Source organism: Homo sapiens, chromosome 15, assembly GCF_000001405.40.
Source record: "Homo sapiens chromosome 15, GRCh38.p14 Primary Assembly".
In the NCBI taxonomy this organism is placed as follows: Eukaryota; Metazoa; Chordata; class Mammalia; order Primates; family Hominidae; genus Homo; species Homo sapiens.
Genome location: NC_000015.10, coordinates 64,442,844 through 64,460,925, shown reverse-complemented (window position 1 = coordinate 64,460,925; position 18,082 = coordinate 64,442,844). Strand labels below are relative to the sequence as shown.

The window sequence follows — 18,082 nt, the reverse complement described above, 5'->3', positions numbered from 1 at the left end:
CATCAGATCCCCTCAGCCCCGCGCCCCATCGGTGCCGCCGCCTCTTTCCTCCCCCAGTCCCGGCTCCACACAAAGCTCCGGACTCACCGCGCGGCCGGTCCCGGGAGCCGCCACCTCCGCCCGCCCGGGGCCCCGGGCCGTAGAGCCGCCGCTGCTACGGGGCCCAGGCCGCCATCCGTTCCCGCGGCCCCTCCCCCCCACCCCACCCCGGCTCCGGCTCCGGCTCCGGCTCTGGCTCTCTGCCCCCTCCCCGCGCCTCTCCGCCCCGCCCGGCCGGTGCCGCTGTGTCCGGGGCCGCGGGTCCCTCAGCCGCCGCCACCGCCGCCGCCGCCGCGATCCGGGACAACCAGAGTCACCCGGAAGACGCGGACACTGGACTGCCAGGCCCTCGGATCCGGATTCCGCGCTTGTGTGGAGTCTGGAGCCGGTGAGCGCAGGGGAAACCCGGAACCTGGATGAAGGAGCGAAATCCTGGGTCTCGGAATGCGCGCTCACCCGGAGCCCAGATTAGGGAGTCTTAGCTCAGGGAATGCTGGAAAACCCGGCGTGCCGGTTAGAACCAAGATAAACTCAAAGAAACCTGGATTAGAGAGCTCGAACCTAACGCTGTCCCCTCGTGGGCAGTAGAACTCTCGCTGGATCAGACTTCCTCATAGAGAGGTCTCTGGGGGGAGTATTGCACCTTATAACACAGAAGACACCTCTTCTGTAGTTGTCCTTCAACCACAGAGAGGAAAGGGCCGTAGGGGATCTGAACATGGGCATCCACAAAGAACAGAAGAGCAATCACAGCTCCTGATGGTTTCATCCATTTTACCCCTTAGTTCAGCAAAGTACCAACCTCCTAATTTTTTATCCTTTGTTCTCCAGCTTTCTCTTTTAGGATTACCACTTGCTTTTCTCCCCAAAGCACCCATTTCTAATCCCTCTATATATCCCTTTTCCCCTCACCATCCTCTATCACTAAATCTTGTTGCCTTTTATTATCTAAAAACCTTATTCTGTCCTTCTCCAACCCACCATTCTAAGGATTGTAGCTTTTATTTTTCCTTATCTGCTATTCATCTCTGATTGCCCAGCATACTATCTAGTGCACAGTAGGCATTCAGTCCATGTTTAAGTGAGCCCTCCCACCCAGCTTTCACTTGTGAAACATCTATTCATGACGACCTCCTAAGACTTCCATCTCATTCCATAGCAAACAAATTTACCTTAATTCTCAAGGCCTCCCACATCCTAGCCCCTATTATGTCCTTCCTGTGTCCTTGACCATTTTATTTTGCTTTGCATTTATCTTACCTTTTTTCCCTTATCCTGGGGCATCCTTCAACAGTGCCACTCAAGATAGCATGTGACTTGGAGATAAAGTGAGGTCATAAAAAGGTGGGGGGAGGGGTTGATAGCTAAAGATAAAAGTAAACCTTTCTGGTCTAGGAAAAATAATCTCTCTTTGGTCCACCAATAGTCATGTTGTTAGACAGTACAGGGGCAGAACTGATCCCAGGTGACAGCGAACTTCCAATGTATACTAGACAAAGTTACAAGTGAGGATTCAGCTACTTAGCAGGTGGAGACAGAGAAGGGTTTAGTGTTTTAGACTTAGGCATGATTTAATTAAGGATTAAACATTCCAGTAGTCATCTCCCACTGAAGGAGCATGACTCTGCCATTGGAGAGAACTAGACTGCAAAAATAGGGAACAAAGGAAGGTAAACATTCCTGCAGTGAACTCCAAGTTTCAGCCAGAGAAAGTTCTCAAGCCTCGAAGAACCACTAAAAATTTTCAAGTGATCAGATGTCCCACATAGTAAACAAACCTTAAGTTTTGATTTACTGTTCCTCTAGACCAAGGGTTGGCAAACTGCATCTCACAGGTCAAATCAGGCTCACCACCTGTTTTAACATGTCCCATGAGCTAGAATGATTTTTACATTTTTAAACAGTTAAATAATCAAAATACTATTTCATGATGTGAAAATGATATGAAATTCAAATTTCAGGCCAGGTGCGGTGGCTCACGCCTGTAATCTCAGCACTTTGGGAGGCTGAGGCGGGCGGATCACGTGAGGTCGGGAATTCGAGACCAGGCTGACCAACATGGAGAAACCCCGTAAAAATACAAAAGTAGCCGGGCGTGGTGGTACATGCTTGTAATCCCAGCTACTTGAGAGGCTGAGGCAGGAGAATCGCTTGAACCCGGGAGGCGGAGGTTGCAATGAGCCGAAATCTTGCCACTGCACTCCAGCCTGGGCAACAAGAATGAAACTGTCTTAAAATACAAACAAAAAAATAGTTTTATTGGCTCTAGCCAAGCTCATTCATTTACATTATCATCTATAGATGCATTTTTACTACAACAGCAGAGTTGAACAGTTGAAACAAGGACTGCATGGCCTGTGTAAAGCCTAAAATATTTGCTATCTGACCCTTTACAGAAAGTTTGCCAACCCCTGCTCCAGACAAGCACTATCCAACAGAACTTTTTGCAGCGATGGAAATGTTCTATATCTGTGCTGTCCAATGCAGAAGTCGCTAGCCACATGTAGCTATTTGAGCACTTGAAATATGGTCAACAGTGACTGAATAACTGAATCCTTAATTTCATATAATTGAGATTTTCATAACCACAAGTGGCTAGTGGCTACCATAATAGACAGTACAGCTCTAGACTCTTAAATCTTCTGTACTGATGTTTTTTTTTCTCCTTATGCCACTATCTCACTCCCTTCCTGTGACATTCCTCTATGGATTCTCAGGAACTCCCCACCACCCCACTGTTCCACAGTCCCACTCACTATATACACATCCATTTTTCTGACCTCAAGCTAGGGTACACTTACTAGGTTGTCTCTCTGGACTCTCCATTGTCACAAATGAAGTCTGAAAATGGATCAGGTTATCAGTTGTCACCCTATGAATTAAGCCACATTATGTACATACACATAAATGGACATTTACACAAGTTCATTTGTGTCAGAGGATGGCACTGAGGCTGTATTCTTTCTTCTCTGCATGAGAGAAGTAGAAAAGCCCTCCACATGCTGGATGCCTTGTTGCTGCTGGTGCCTGTGGTATGGATCACCTCCCTCCGAACACATTCACAGAAGCTCAGAGCAGCAGATGTATGCTTGGCTACTTGAATCTCTAGGAAAAAAAATTCCTTCATCATTGGATTTTCTGTCCCTCCCCAGGCCTAACAAACTGAAGTTCACTGATTTCTTTAGTTTAATAGATGCTTGCTGTTTACTCGTCTTTTTGAGCTGACTTTTTGAGAATAACTCCCATGCTGTCTTGATCTTGGCTAGGTGCATTTTTAAAATTTACTAAATTAAATGAAATCCACATAAATGGGCTTTGAAGTCTAAATTTTTCACACTTACTTCCTAGGAAAAAATGAATTTATGTAAACTTCTGACTTAAAAGAGGGGATACCTAGTTTTCTTTTTCCAGATTAGCTATAGCAAGAAACAAACAAAAACCCTTACTCTATTCCAAACATCTAACTGCAAAGCCAAGGCTTCCTACATTTGATCTTAGCCAAAAGGCCGAGAAGCAATAAAGCCAAGGCTTCCTAAACCCCGTCAGAGAAAGTCTCCAGTTTCATATATCCCCCTACTCTGACTTTATATAAATGAGACTGAGTCCTGCCTGGAAAAACAAAAACAAAAACAAAAACAAAAAAGCTGAAACCTTTAGGCACTATACAAATTGACAGCAATTGAACCCAACTATTCAAAAGTGGGTACAGATATTTAGACTGCAACAAAAAACCAGCTCAGAAATGTGAAACTTCCTTTAGGCCACACTGTCCCAGAGTTACACAGTCAGAGCAAAGTGTTGTAAAGTCCTAAAAGGCTATTCCTGGGCAAGTTTGCACTCAGGCTGCTAAGAATTTCCACTAGGCTTTAAATTGTGCTATTCATCACTGAGCAACTGAAGGCCATCTACCCCCAAGTTTCTCCCACACTTCCTCCCTGGTGTCTCCACAAATAAAAGAGAGACCTTATACCACCACCACCATATGAACTAAAGACAGACTTTCACAGTCTAACCATGAAAAGGAGAAGTTTCCATGTTATTCTGCCATTTACTAATGAGGCTCCAGTTGCATATTTTGGATGCTGAGGTGGGTTCTTGTAAACTTGTGAAGTTCTTGTAAACTGTCTTATCTCAGCACACAAAATGGTTGCATAACCTGATCTGTCACAGCTCCTGATGTTTTTCTTTCGGCATGCACACAGTCTATCCAGGAGAAAAAAATCAATCCAGACACCTCTATGCTCAGGCTGTTGTTCAAATAAACTTTTTTCCTCCCTCCCTAGGCTCTTCACCTCCTGTCTTCTAGTTTTATTTTGGTATTAAGAGAGCCAGACAACTCCAGCATAGAATTCAAGGTGCTACTGCTTAGTAAACTATTAGCTGCATAGTGAACCCAGTATGGCTTCATTAATAGTAGGGTCTGCAGGAAGCCAGAAAGAGACTCCCCCGACATGCCCCCTGCCAAAGAAGTGGACATTAGCAGTCCTTTCCCCTTTCTCCAGAGGTTGAACAGAAAAAGAGAATACTACATGTTTGCATCACCGCAACAAGAATCGGGTGGGTTTTCCCTGGGAATCCAGAGTGATCAGGCCCTGCAAAACCAATGCCTAGAGCTATGCAACAAGCAGGGTTCACAGTTGAGTGAACATCAATGCATAATGAGTGGAGGCATTTCAATGCAAATAAACGCTGAATATGAAGGATTAAAGAAAGGGGAAATTAATCTTTTTCATAACACAGGGCACATTTTTTTTCTCTCCCTTGCTCTCTCTTTTTTAAGAAATGCACACAACTGCTGGAGGGAGTCCAACTTCCCCAGTGTGGTGGTGTTGTTTTATAAAAAGCAGAACATACACATTTAAGACCATGAATTTCCTCAGGATGCCAGCAACTGAGATTCTGACAGCTCTTCAGAACAGCCTCAGTGTTTCACTAAGGACGGCCAGACTGACAAAAATCTCATTTCAAACCAACCTCTTCTTTTTCCAAAGCGCATAGCTTTCTGGGATGTGAATGGTTTAAAAGGTTTGAGTTCAGCATTTGGTGGGTATTTGGATGCATTTACTAAGGCGATTTTATTTTTTAGTTTGTTTCTAATTGCCCCATCCAAGTGATGCTTTTGCAATACCAACAAAATAAATAGGGCAGCTTCATGGTGCTTTAGCAGGTGGCTCCATCTCCTCCCAGTCTGAACCATCCATATCCTGGCTTCTCAAACCCAAGAAGTGGAAGCACTTCTTCAGGTTATTCCTTCCAAAAAAAAAATTTGCCAGTGAGGGTTACTCGGCTTTTCACATTTCATTCAGACTGTTTAAGAGACATTGGATTGGAGCAGAAAACTTGTTACAAACCTTTTTGTCCCATCACAGGTTTGTATTAAGCACAGGATTCCTCAAACATCCTATTACTCTATCAGATTATCCCTTTGATAAGAAACTTTAAAATCTGAGAGGAACCCTCAAAAAAAAATCATTAACCTAGGTTAAAAACTTTCTAACTACAAATACAAGTCTCAGAAAGGAAAAGAATTTCCAACTTGGTCCAATCTCTTTTGATACTATTCTAAGAAAAATGTCAAAAGACTTAGAATTTTTAAACAGGTTTTTATAAATAATGTGTTCAAAGATTTCGACCCCATTACATAAAGTAGGAATCCCACTCCTTAAGAAAAATATACAGATTTTGGTAAGAGTTTAAGTTCTGAGATATTCAAGCCTGACGCCAAGCCTTTAGGTTTCTACTACTTCAATTCCAAAGGACCAGTAGATAGCAATTTTAGTACACAAAACTCCACTATGCTGTATAGTTCCTTTTCTCCTGGGTCAGACAGCTTTATTCTGCTTCATTAACCCCTTCTTTGCTCCTTGATGGATCTTGGAATCCAATTTCCCTGTAAGGGAGAAAAATAAGTCTCATTATTTATTTTTGTATTTGCAATGCAAATCTTTTGCAGCCTCCCAGGTCTTCTGGTTACTGTGTTCCTGTCACATTCAATTATCTTACTTCAGGACTCAGACACTTCCAAACTTCAGAGTTTCATTCTGTAAGAATAAGGAAGCAATGGGAACACTGTACAAGGATACACAAATGCATACAATGAGTATTTGTCCTAAGAATCTAAGAAGTTAATTATTTCTAATTTTGTAGCTACTAGAAAAGAAATAATCACATTTTTAAGGGGTTTGATGCTACGGCAAATTTTTAAGAATATACACATGCAATAAAGGCAGGCATTTCACAGTGGGAAATCCATTCCTGTGACCTGTTAACTGGCTGAGCATAATGCATGAACCTTCACAGTGAGAAAAGCAGTTCAACACCCCTTTGCTGCCTCAGACTTAATAGGGGGAGTGACCTGCAACAGTGGAATAGAATCCACATGAATGCTTTACTGACAAAGGGCCCCTATCACCAGCTAAGAAGGTTAAAGGTCATAGGCTATATGACTCTCTAAGTGTTAAACTTAGAAAACAAGCAACCTTCCCATCCCAGGTGACCCTAATGAAAGGTATATTACTGATGTGGTCTCTGACCTCTTCTCAGATCTACCAGGATAGAGTTTGGCTCAGTGGTAGCAGCCTTAGGAACCATCCATCTCATTAGGAGAATCTTAAGAGAATTCCTGTCTGTCTGGCCTGAGAACAGTTTGGCAGTTTGCTTTCTCCCACAAAAAGTCTCATCTAAGTCAATAGTGATGCTTATGCTGAAAATAGAAACATAATTCAGTTCAGTCTCAGCACTAAAAAAAAAAAAGAAAACAAAAAAAAAAAACAAGGAGTCTTCCCCTTCAAAGGCAGCTGAGTATACCACAGGCCCATGCCCATAATCACTGCCTCTCAATATGTTGTCATTTTCATTTGTTGCAGCAATTGGGCATAACAGAGCACTGGACTAAAAATCAGAAGACCCAGGTTCTAGTCCACCCTTCTCTGGTATTAACTAGCTGTGTGACCTAGGCGAGTCATTCAATTTCTCTGGATTTCAGTATTTTCACTTGTCCAATTAAGTTAAGAATACATGTACTGACCATGGCACAGTAAGACTGTGAGAAAAATTAGCCTCAGCCTAACAAGTTTCTCTGTTTACTTAAATCTCCTCTTGCCCAACATTAGTCTGTCTGTATATCTCTCTTTGTCTGTTTATCTCTCTCTCTCTTTTCTTTTAGGCTACACCTGCTTCTAGAAGAACATTATGTCCTTTTCTGGGCTTCCTCAGAAACCATCACTAAGTGATACCCTGAATATCATTTAACAATAATCACAATGCTGTTGATTTTAATTAGGGCTTTAGAGCATAGGGCATTCCCAGGGATTTAGGAGTTCTTTTATCCCTTATGCTGCCTGGCTGAAAACCTGAACATGTGCCAGCCATCTGGCAAAGAGCCCTGTTACAAGGCAAGTCAGCCTTTGTATCCCTAACACTACCATAGTGACTGCCAAATGGTAGACGCTCAATAAATGCTCTCACCAAATGAATTAAACAAAGGTAGACACTACAAATTTCAAAACCTTTATATTATAGACAGTACTAAGTAACCACAAATAGCAGATATCAGACAAATGTAAGAGTACAGATTGTAAAGGTGGTGGTACCCAGAGGTGAGTCCCATTCAGCTTTTTAGGACAAGCTGGGACAGAATTTAGAATTCCATCTAGGACTCCAGACATCCAGTCGTCTGTATTGCATAAGTTGAAAGACTTTATTTATTGAGACAGAGTCTCTGTCGCCCAGGCTGGAGTGCAATGGCATAATCTCGGCTCACTGCAACCCCCACCACCCAGGTTCAAGCAATTCTGCCTTAGCCTCCCCTGTAGCTGGGACTACAGGTGTGTGCCATCACGCCCAGCTAATTTTTTTATTTTTTGGTAGAGATAGGGTTTCACCACGTTGGCCAAGTTGGTCTTGAACTCCTGACCTCAAGCAATCCCCCACCCCACCTCAGCCTCCCAAAGTGCTGGGATTACAGGCGTGAGCCACCACACCTGGCTGAAAAACTCAGTTTTAATCCTAAGACTTCCTAGCTGTATAACCTTGAGTATGTTACCTAGTCACTCTTGTCCTCAATTTTTATCAACTCTAAGAGGAAACTGGACTATACAATACTGAAGGTTCCTTCCAACTCTATGATATTGTGCCCTAGAAATGAAATGTAAATTGGAATAATTTGTTCCTGAGGCAATCTGATACAGTGAAAAGAACAGGAAACCTTGTGCCAGAAAGATTTGAGTAAAACAACTTCCATAAACCTGTAAAATGAAAGGAGGAAAAAGCCCTTACTAACACACAGAATTATTAAGAAGATTATAGCTAACATGAAGTGCATTCTATAGACCAGTCACTGAGCTACGTGTATTACACATACACTGAGTCCTTTAATCAAATAACTACAGGTTCAGTATTCCTTATCTAAAATGCTTGGGACCAGAAGTGTTTTAAATTTCAGATTTTTTTGGATTTTGGAATATTTGCATTATATATATTTACTGGTTAAGTATCCCAAATCCAGAAATCCAAAATCCCAAATGCTCCAATGAGGCATATCCTTTGAGCATCATGTTGAAGCTCAAAAAGGTTTAGATTTTGCATTTCAGATTTTCAGATTTGTGGCAGGGCATGGTGGCTCATGCCTGCAATCCCAGTACTTTGGGAGGCCAAGGCAGGCAGATCGCTTGAGCCCAGAAGTTCCAGACCAGTCTGGCCAACATGGTGAAATACTGTCTCTAACAAAAAAACCAAACCCCCCTCAACCCCCAGAAAAATTTGCTGGGTATGGTGGTGCAAGCCTGGAGTCCCAGCTACTCAGGAGGCTGAGACAGGAGGATGGCATGAGCCCAGGAGGTGGAGGTTGCAGTGAGCCAAGATCTCATGCCATTGCACTCCAGCATGGGCAACAGAGTGAGACCTGTCTAAAAAAAAAATTTTTTTTTTTTTTTGGGCCGGGCACAGTGGCTCACTCCTGTAATCCCTGCACTTTGGGAGGCCGAGACAGGCAGATCACCTAAGGTCAGAAGTTCAAGACCAGCCTGGTCAAAATGGTGAAACCCGTCTCTACTAAAAATACAAAAATTAGTTGGGCGTGGTGGAGGGTGTCTGTAATCCCAGCTACTCAAGAGGCTGAGGCAGGAGAATCACTTGAACCCAGGAGTTGGAGGTTCCAGTGAGCCAAGATCGCACCATTGCACTCCAGCCTGGGCAACAAGAGTAAAACTCAAAAAAAAAAAATTAATAAAAATAAAAGCAATAAAAAATTAGCCGGGTATGGTGGTGCAGGCCTATAGTCCCAGCTACTTGGGAGGCTGAGGTGGGAGAATTGCTTGAGCCAGGGAGGCAGAGGTTGCAGTGAGCCGAGTTCACACCACTACACTTCAGCCTGGGTGACAGAGTGAGACCCACTCCCCAAAAAAAAAAAAAAAAAAAAAAAGATCAGATTTGGGATGCTCAGCCTATAACTGAAATAATATATATTAAAGTGTTTCAGGCCAGGTGTGGCTCATGCCTGTAATCCCAGCACTTTCGGAGGCCAAGGCAAGCAAATCACTTGAGGTCAGGAGTTCAAGACCAGCCTGACCAACATGGCGAAACCCCGTCTCTACTAAAAATACAAAAATTAGTTGGGTGTGATGGTGCTCGCCTGTAATCCCAGCTACTCGGGAGGCTGAGGCAGGAGAATTGCTTGAACCCAGGAGGCAGAGGTTGCAGTGAGCTGAGATCTCACCAGTGCATGCCAGCCTGGGCAACAGAGCAAGACCCCATCTCAAAAAAAAAAGTGGGGGGCTTCATAAATTCAAAGTCTCCTGAAGAAGTAAGGGTGGTTATATTATTTACGCTGAGGCTTGGGAGTTAGGTTTCTTAGTTATGGTTTCAATTTCACCTTTCATTTACCATATAACCCCAGGCAAGTCTTTTAATTATTATTTATTTCAGATTCTTCATAAGAAAAAAAGACATATCATTTTCTTCACATTCTTAAAGCTTTACTGAATGAGAACATTCCTATTTTACGTTTCAGGAAACTCCAGTATGATTATGAAAGCCCTCAAGTGAGACCAGCTCAGGTAAGATCAACCCATCAGAATAAAACACTCAATTGTAGGCAGACTAATCTCTGGCTTCAATGATGATGTCTAAAATGGAAAGCTAATAGGAGAAACAAGATACAAGAGGAACAAGGATTTCCAGGATATTCCCAGGAATTCAGACGTTCTTTCATCCTCTAGGCTGCCTAAAAAAAATCAGACATTTGCCAACAATCTGTGAACTCCTTACAATCATGGACATTTTGTATCCTTAACGTCTAACAGAGTGATTGCCAATAGAGGCAACTCTTGGGCCAGCTGTGGGCAATGATGGTAAGGGACCGGGGCTTCTTGTGGAAAGCAGCAGTCATCATGACTGTCCTTAGATTGCAGGAACTCAAAGCTCTGAGTTCTAGTTCACCCTGGGCTTCTTTTTTCTTTTTTTTCCTTTCTTTCTTTTTTTTTTTTTTTTTTTTTCTTTTGAGACGGAGTCTCACACTCTCGCCCAGGCTGGAGTGCAGTGGCGCCATCTCGACTCACTGCAAGCTCCGCCTCCCGGGTTCACGCCATTCTCCTGCCTCAGCCTCCCGAGTAGCTGGGACTACAGGCACCTGCCACCACGTCTGGCTAATGTTTTGTATTTTTAGTAGAGACGGGGTTTCACCGTGTTAGCGAGGATGGTCTCCATCTCCTGACCTTGTGATCCGCCTCGGCCTCCCAAAGTGCTGGGATTACAGGCGTGAGCCACTGCGCCCAGCCCACCCTGGGCTTCTAAGATCAGGATCTGGATAGTGAACCATAGTGACATACAATACATCCTCTTCATGGTAGGGTGTAACACTTAGTTTCTGTATTTCCCCAATATTTTTACATTTAGTACCTAATCGTTTCAGTGTTAAACCACATCCTCAATCATAGTGCCTAAAAGAAAGTCAAATGCATGTGCAGCAGATGGGCAAGAAGTTAAAAGGGGAAAAAATATTTGTCATTAATTGATATAACTCTCATAGGAATTTTCACATGGTTTGCAAAAGATATAAGGTGCATGAGTTTATAGAGCATGTTGCTAAATTTAAAAAATTTCCTTTATCTGAGTATTCAACCTATATAAAGCAGACACAGAGCCAGGTGATACCCTATTGTATATTGCTCTTTTCTGAATTATCTCAATTTGAGGAGACACAATTACCTTAAGGTCAAGCAAACTCAAATTTACACTTCCAAAAACAAACAAATCAAAGTATACACCTTTAATTTAAGGCATTTATACATCCATATATTTTTTATATATATATATATGATACAACACATAAATGGGTCATATTCTGAAAGTTTATTTGCAAGTCTGAAGTTTGGAACCTGAAGCCGGGCATCATAGTAGTGTATATCTACATAGTAGTTCCAGCTACTTGGGAGGCTCAGGCAGGAAGATCTCTTGAGCCCAGAGTTCAAGGCCAGTCTAGGCAACACAGTGAGACCCCTGTCTCAAAAATAAAAGTTTGGAATTTCGAATATATTTATCATAGAACTAATCTGTAAAGGGTGGCTAGGTTCCTAAGACATCCCACAAAAAAAAAAAACAAAAACAAACAAAAAAAACAAACATTTAAGCCACAGTGTTATAAGTAAAGCAGACTATTAATTAATTTTTTTTTTTTAGAGACAGGGTCTTGCTGTGTCACCCAGGCTGGAGTGCAGTATTGCAATCATAGCCCATTGCAGCCTTGAACTCCTGGGCTCAAGCAATATTTCTGCCTCAGCCTCCCAAGTAGCTGGCACTATAGGCACACGCCACCACACTGGAATAATTTTTTTTATTTTTTTGTAGAGACAGGGTCTCGCTATGTTACTCAGGCTGGTCTCAAACTCCTGGCTTCAAGTGATCCTCCTGCCTCAGATTCCTAAAGTGCTGGGATTATAGACATGAGCCACTGTGCCTGACCAAGTATTAATATTATTGCTATTAAACTTAATCACTTCATGTAATAATATATCTAGGGGAAAGTGTGATAACCATTTCAAATTAAGAGGCAGGTATGTATTTTCCCCAATGTAACTGGGATTAAAGACTTTTCCAGCTTAAACTACTGGAGGTTATCCCCTAGGACCTAAGGCAAGAGAGTTCTGGCAGAGTAGAAGGTTTTTAGAGAGGCCAAGGTGGATGGATCACCTGAGCTCAGGAGTTCAAGACCAGCCTGGGCAACATGGCAAGACCCCGTTTCTAGCAAAAATACAAAAAATTAGCCAAGCATGGAGGCGCGTGCCTGTGGTCCCAGCTACTTAGGAGGCTGAGGTGGGAGGATCACTTGAGCCTGGGAGATGGAAGTTGCAGTGAATTGAGATTGTGCCACTGCACTCCAACCTGGATAACAGAGTGAGACCCCATCTCAAAATAAAATTTTCACTACCTATTGTTTCTGTGCAATTTTTAACCTTGTCTAGTCTACCATTAACTAACAGAAACAATACGAAAAAGATAGGAAGTTATTAAAGGTTTCTCCTAAGAATGTCACTCCCCTCACCATCATGAAACCTTATGGAGAAAAATGAAGGCCCTATAGGTCCTGAAGGTGTAGAGAAAGTACTAAAGTAAAACATTTCAGAGAAATAGCTAAACTCTACACAGAACATTTTCTCACAGGACTTTAGGCAGCAGATGAAAACCAAGCCAGGGGAAGAAGCTACGAAAAGGGAAGTAGGACTAAAGATCAATTAACAGTGGGTTTGAGAGAGAGGATTTACCACCGTTTCCTCCTACCACCAGTGTTGCCACCAGTACCTAGAGGAAGGTGAGAATGAAATGGAGGAGGAAGGGGTAGACTGCTAGAACCAAAACAGAGGGAGGGTAAAAGGAGATCTAAATCCTAAACAGGGCCAGGTGTGGTGGCTCACACCTGTAATCCTAACGCTTTAGGAGGCCAAGGCAGGAGGATCCACTTGAGACCAAACTGGGCAACATAGTGAGACCTCATCTCTACCAAAAATTTAAAAATTATCTGGGCGTGGTGGCACATACCTGTAGTCCCAGCTACTTTGGGGGCTGAGGTGGGAGGATTACTTTATCCCAGGAGGTGGAGGCTGCAATGAGCCATAATTGCACAACTGCACTCCAGGCTGGGTGACAGGCCAAGGCCCTATCTCAAAAATAAATAAATCCTTAATAGTGGAGAAAAGAAAGGATTTCCAGGGCTACTGGGCCACCAACTGGAGTACCGTCTGAAGTAAATAATTTGTGTCAGTTAAGGGCAACTTGGTTCAGATCTTCGAATGTGTAGGAATCTTAGGATCTTATCAATCAAGATGTTGCCTGAATTTTGCAGTAAATATACATTAATATAAATTCCTACTCTAAGCATTTCATTTTGTGATTGAAAGCAGTGTTACTTAAAGTACAGCCAGCTGGCCAACAGCATCAGTATCACCTGAGAGCAGGATTGAGGAACCTGTGTTTTAACAGCTTGCTAGGTGATTTTTAGTTACATTATAGTTTGAGAAGTACTTCTCTAGGGCATAGATTTATAAAATGGCTAGTTGGTCCCCAAGGTATTGGATGAGGGAGAGTTTCGCACCAGTGAGGACAATGCATGCCCTAGAATCATGCAATTCACACAATGGGAAAGCAATGACAAAGAGGCACAAAATGGTAACTGACATGAGCAAATGGGAGAGTTGCTGATGTTGCTTTTCCAAGGATGTTAGGCAGGGAGGACACCACTACTATATGTGTGTTTTTTTTGTTTGTTTTTGTTTTTGTTTTGTTTTGTTTTGAGACGGAGTCTCGCTCTGTTGCCCAGGCTGGAGTGCAGTGGTGCAATCTCGACTCACTGTAAGCTCCGCCTCCCAGGTTCACGCCATTCTCCTGCCTCAGCCTCCCGAGTAGCTGGGACTACAGGTGCCCGCTACCATGCCTGGCTAATTTTTTGTATTTTTAGTAGAGATGGGGTTTCACTGTGTTAGCCAGGGTAGTCTCGATCTCCTGACCTTGTGATCCACTTGCCTCGGCCTCCCAAAGTGTTGGGATTACAGGCGTGAGCCACCACGCCCGGCCCACTATATGCGTTTTGAGACTGCTTTGAAATACAAGAGGCTGCTCTAGGACAGAGGAAGAAAAGATGGGTCCCAGCTAGACCCTGTCTCAATCAATTAACTAATAAAAATTTTTAAAATGAGGCCAGGTACAGTGGCTCACGCCTGTAATCCCAGCACTTTGGGAGGCCAAGGCAGGCGGATCACAAGGTCAGGAGTTCGAGACCAGCCTGGCCAATATGGTGAAACCCCATCTCTACTAAAATACAAAAATTAGCCAGGAGTGGTGGCAGATGCCTGTAGTCCCAGCTACTCGGGAGGGTGAGGCAGGAGAATCGCTTGAACCCAGGAGGTGGAGGTTGTAGTGAGCCGAGATTGGGCCACTGCACTCCAGCCTCGGAGACAGAGTGAGACTCTGTCTCAAAAAAAAAAAAAAAATGTTAAAAAGGAATGAAAAGCAAGAGAGCCAAGGCTGTACTCTGGGAACCAATAATGAAGAGAAATGTGGGAAGTGGTGTCTCTAAAATAGATGTTCAATAATAAATACTTAAAATGTTAAGTCTTTTTTTTGAGATGGAGTTTCGCTCTTGTTGCCTAGGCTGGAGTGCAGTGGCGTGATCTCGGCTCACTGCAACCTCTGCCTCCCGAGTTCAAGCGATACTTCTGCCTCAGCCTCCCGAGTAGCTGGGATTACAGGTGCCCACCACCATGCCCTGCTAATTTTTTGTATTTTCAGTAGAGACGGGGTTTTACCATGTTGGCCAGGCTGGTCTCGAACTCCTGACCTCAGATGATCCACCCGTCTCAGCCTCCCAAAGTGCTGGGATTATAGGCATGAGCCACCATGCCCAGCCCTTATTCTTGAGTTGAATACTGAACAATGAATAAATGGATAAATGACAATGTTGCCACTGCACTGCCTTACTACTTCCTTTAATGAGCAGTACAGTGGGGCAAAACACTCTTTTGGCTGACAAATAGCATTTTAATGTAATAGGATCTGAAATTGAAGTTTAGAGCGACTTACTATGCCGGTAATTGTGGATCAAGGTATACTTTGGAAAGGCTTTACTGTAGTTAACCTAACATAAAGTTATTGATAAGTATAATTATATTAAGCCTCCAACACTAGGGACACACAGAACACAATAAATTTTTTTTTTTTTTTTTTTTTTTTGAGACTGAGTGTCGCTCTGTTACCAGGCTGGAGTGTAATGGCACAATCTCAGCTCACTGTAACCTCCGCCTCCCAGGTTCAAGCGATTCTCCTGCCTCAGCCTTCCAAGCAGCTGAGACTACAGGCGCTACAGGCACTACAGGTGCTACAGGCGCACGCCACCACACCCAGCTAATTTTTTTTTTTTTTTTTTGGTAATCTTAGTAGAGACGGGGGGGTTTCACCATGTTGGCCGGGATGGTCTCGATCTCTTGACCTTGTGATCCGCCTGCCTCAGCCTCCCAAAGTGCTGGGATTACAGGCATGAGCCACCGTGCCCGGCCAAAAGGGAAGATTTTATAAAAATCTAGACAAGTAAGATGCAAGACAAAAAAAAAGAAAAGAAAAGAAAAGAAAATTAGACCATCAAAGATTATGACTTACAGGCTGATCCAAAGGTAGTGGGTTACCTCAACTGATTGTTCACAGTCAGTTATAGATTGAACTCCTTGTTCTACTTTTTTCCCCATTCCTTACTACTGCACTTGACTAGTCTTAAAGAAAAAAAATCATGACTTACAGATTTTTGGATTTCCTTTAATAGGAAACTTCACAACCATTTCCTGAGGATTTTTGCAGATGAAAACAAATGGAGAATCAGACTCTTGACTGATGTCTGGAAACTGTGAAATATAAAAATAAAAAGTTCAGGATAGTTGGGACAAGCTTTGAATTTAAGGAGAACAGAAGATGTCCCAGATTTCACCTCAACATTCTGATGATACTACTTTCCATTTCACAGGTAAAGAGGATTATGCTCAACAAGCAAGAACAAACCTTCACCTTTCTACAATCCTTAGTACAGCATTATACAGTCTATTGCCTGCCATCTCTGATTTCCTATAGTGGGAACAACTTCATTAAAAAAAAAAAAAAAAAAAAGGATACCTGAAATCCTCCCAGAAGAATCAGAACGGAATGCTCTTTTATCACAAACAACCAAGAGTCAGGAGATTCAGAGATCTCCTTGGGGAACATCAGGTACCCCCTAGGTTCAACTCAAGTGAAGCACTGGAAGACTTAAGAAAAATAAAACATCTGTGGAAATTCTGCCAGAAACAGTACACATAGCCCTTCTCTAGCTAAAGGGAAGGAAGATGATTCATTCTGAAAGGTATGAACATGCAAAAGCTGTTTTGCTGGATGCTTTCCAGATCTACTTCGGGTGAAAAGGTAACTGGTTAGAGCAATTCTGAAAATTATTTAGAAACCTCCTTTGGATCTCTTATCATAAAAACAAATCTGTGTGAATAGTTAGGACTTTTACTTTTTTTGTAAAAACAGACACAGAACCTAGAGTAAGACTATGCTGGCTACACAATCACAATTTAAGAACAATTGGGGGTTAGCAATGGCTGAGCTGGAATTTCATTATTTCCTATCTTACTATGTCTTATGTTTAGCACATTCAACAAATATGACTCATAGGCTTCTGGGTCAGACTTCATTACCAGAGAAGACTTTCTCCTAGTAACTACCGTAAAAAGTATGAAATTACCTGTATTTTCCACCCTTATTTGACTGCTAAGATAAGCCTTCTAAAGTCTAAGCCACTAAAAGTTTCATTTTAAAAAGTAAGGAAATTCAAATTTCTCTGTAACTAGAAGCATGAATAGTTAAACTTCTTTATTGACCACTCTTGTCCTACATGATAAGTGATGCTGTGGAGAAAACAGAAGGGATTTTTACTAGCATCTGGCCCTGCCCATACACCATGGCTTTCAGTGTGGAAGAGGTGGGACATGTACTTTGTTTTTGTTTTGTTTTTTTTTAAAGATGGGGTCTCTCTATGTTGCCCAGGCTGATCTCAAACTCCTGGACCCAAATGATTCTCCTGCCTCAACCTCCCAAAGTTCTGGGATTATAGGAGAGAGCCACCGCACCCAGCCAATAAAACAAACTTAATATTAACTATCAGCCACAATCATATTAATAGGCAGGGTCAAATGTTCACGGTAGAAAAGTAAGGCTACAGATACAAAGGTAAACCCTCTTCTTTCTTATCCCTTTTATCTTCAGAAGCCAAAGAAAAACAGGGCCCAGCTGTTATTGCTGGGTATTAGAAGGAAATAAGCTCTGCACAAGATCCATGCTGAGGTGCTTTGGCACAAATAAAACCAGAGGCTGCCATCAAGATCTCCAAACCTAATTCTACAGAGACCAGAGCAGCAGCATTCATAATTACTATCTCTTTAATTTTCCTGTTTTTCCTTCCCTGTGGCTTAGAGACCATTGAGGCAAAGGACAATCAACAGCTCTGCTTTTCCAACACCATAAACCATTTCAGCCAATCTCTCCTCCTTCTTCCATGTCAATAGTTTTTGCCTCTCTACTGGATCAATCCTATTAACACACAAACATTCTGTAATGTCTGGCATGAAACAAAATCTCTTATCCAGATCCCACATCCTCCTCCAGCTACTACTCATTTCTCAGATTCCCATTACAACAAAATTCATCAAAAGATTATCTGTACTCCCTGCCTTTAATTCCTCTCCTACTTTTTTCTTGAATTCACTATAAGTAGGCTTTCACTCTCATCATTCCATCAAAATCATTCTTGTAAAGGTCACTGTTGACTTCCATGCTGCTAAATCAAACGGTCAATTCGCAGTTCTCATCTTTTTTTTTTTTTTTTGAGATGGAGTCTTACCCTGTTACCCAGGCTGGAGTGCAATGGCGTGATCTCGGCTCACTGCAACCTCTGCCTCCTGGGTTCAAGCAATTCTCCTGCCTGCCTCAGCCTCCCGAGTAGCTGGGATTACAGGCGTCCAAAACCATGCCC

At 42.7% G+C, this 18,082-nt stretch overlaps 2 protein-coding genes and 1 long non-coding RNA gene across 8 annotated transcripts in view, besides 4 other annotated features; 1 reads left to right on the top strand and 2 right to left on the bottom strand.

Moving 5' to 3' along the window:
* ZNF609 (zinc finger protein 609) overlaps window positions 1–1,348 on the bottom strand; it is a 226,491-nt gene extending 225,143 nt beyond the window's left edge. Inside the window, exon 1 of one of the 4 annotated variants that reach the window (XM_047432263.1) lies at window positions 1,300–1,348. The gene's annotated coding sequence lies outside the window, so the exon portion shown is untranslated. Of the gene's footprint in view, window positions 1–87; window positions 349–495; window positions 700–1,299 lie in introns of those variants that run through there. The other 3 variants (XM_047432265.1, XM_017022021.2, NM_015042.2) reach the window with 3 other exon arrangements.
* Window positions 17–116: a silencer, noted in NCBI's record as "silent region_6535". NCBI's record gives its function as "represses an Ori minimal core promoter by ATAC-STARR-seq in GM12878 lymphoblastoid cells {active_cell/tissue: GM12878}" and the evidence as "EXISTENCE:reporter gene assay evidence [ECO:0000049][PMID:35858748]".
* Window positions 177–296: a silencer, noted in NCBI's record as "silent region_6534". NCBI's record gives its function as "represses an Ori minimal core promoter by ATAC-STARR-seq in GM12878 lymphoblastoid cells {active_cell/tissue: GM12878}" and the evidence as "EXISTENCE:reporter gene assay evidence [ECO:0000049][PMID:35858748]".
* LOC105370861 (uncharacterized) lies at window positions 339–16,179 on the top strand. Its single transcript, XR_932367.3, has 3 exons — window positions 339–427; window positions 10,049–10,094; window positions 16,040–16,179. It is a non-coding gene; the product is annotated as an uncharacterized LOC105370861 (long non-coding RNA).
* Window positions 757–826: an enhancer, noted in NCBI's record as "active region_9568". NCBI's record gives its function as "activates an Ori minimal core promoter by ATAC-STARR-seq in GM12878 lymphoblastoid cells {active_cell/tissue: GM12878}" and the evidence as "EXISTENCE:reporter gene assay evidence [ECO:0000049][PMID:35858748]".
* TRIP4 (thyroid hormone receptor interactor 4) overlaps window positions 5,623–18,082 on the bottom strand; it is a 67,468-nt gene continuing 55,008 nt past the window's right edge. For all 3 annotated transcript variants that reach the window (NR_135855.2, NM_001321924.2, NM_016213.5), the window contains 2 exons: window positions 15,818–15,920; window positions 5,623–5,929 (listed from right to left, as the gene is read on the bottom strand). Coding sequence is in view for 2 of the 3 variants with exons in the window: in NM_001321924.2 (NP_001308853.1) it covers window positions 5,862–5,929; window positions 15,818–15,920 (171 nt within the window). In the remaining variant the exon portion in view is untranslated. The remainder of the gene's footprint in view (window positions 5,930–15,817; window positions 15,921–18,082) is intronic.
* Window positions 15,483–16,682: an enhancer, noted in NCBI's record as "MED14-independent group 3 enhancer chr15:64736443-64737642 (GRCh37/hg19 assembly coordinates)". NCBI's record gives its function as "activates an origin of replication core promoter dependent on BRD2, BRD4, P300/CBP and CDK7 cofactors, and independent of MED14, by STARR-seq in HCT116 cells {active_cell/tissue: HCT116}" and the evidence as "EXISTENCE:reporter gene assay evidence [ECO:0000049][PMID:35650434]".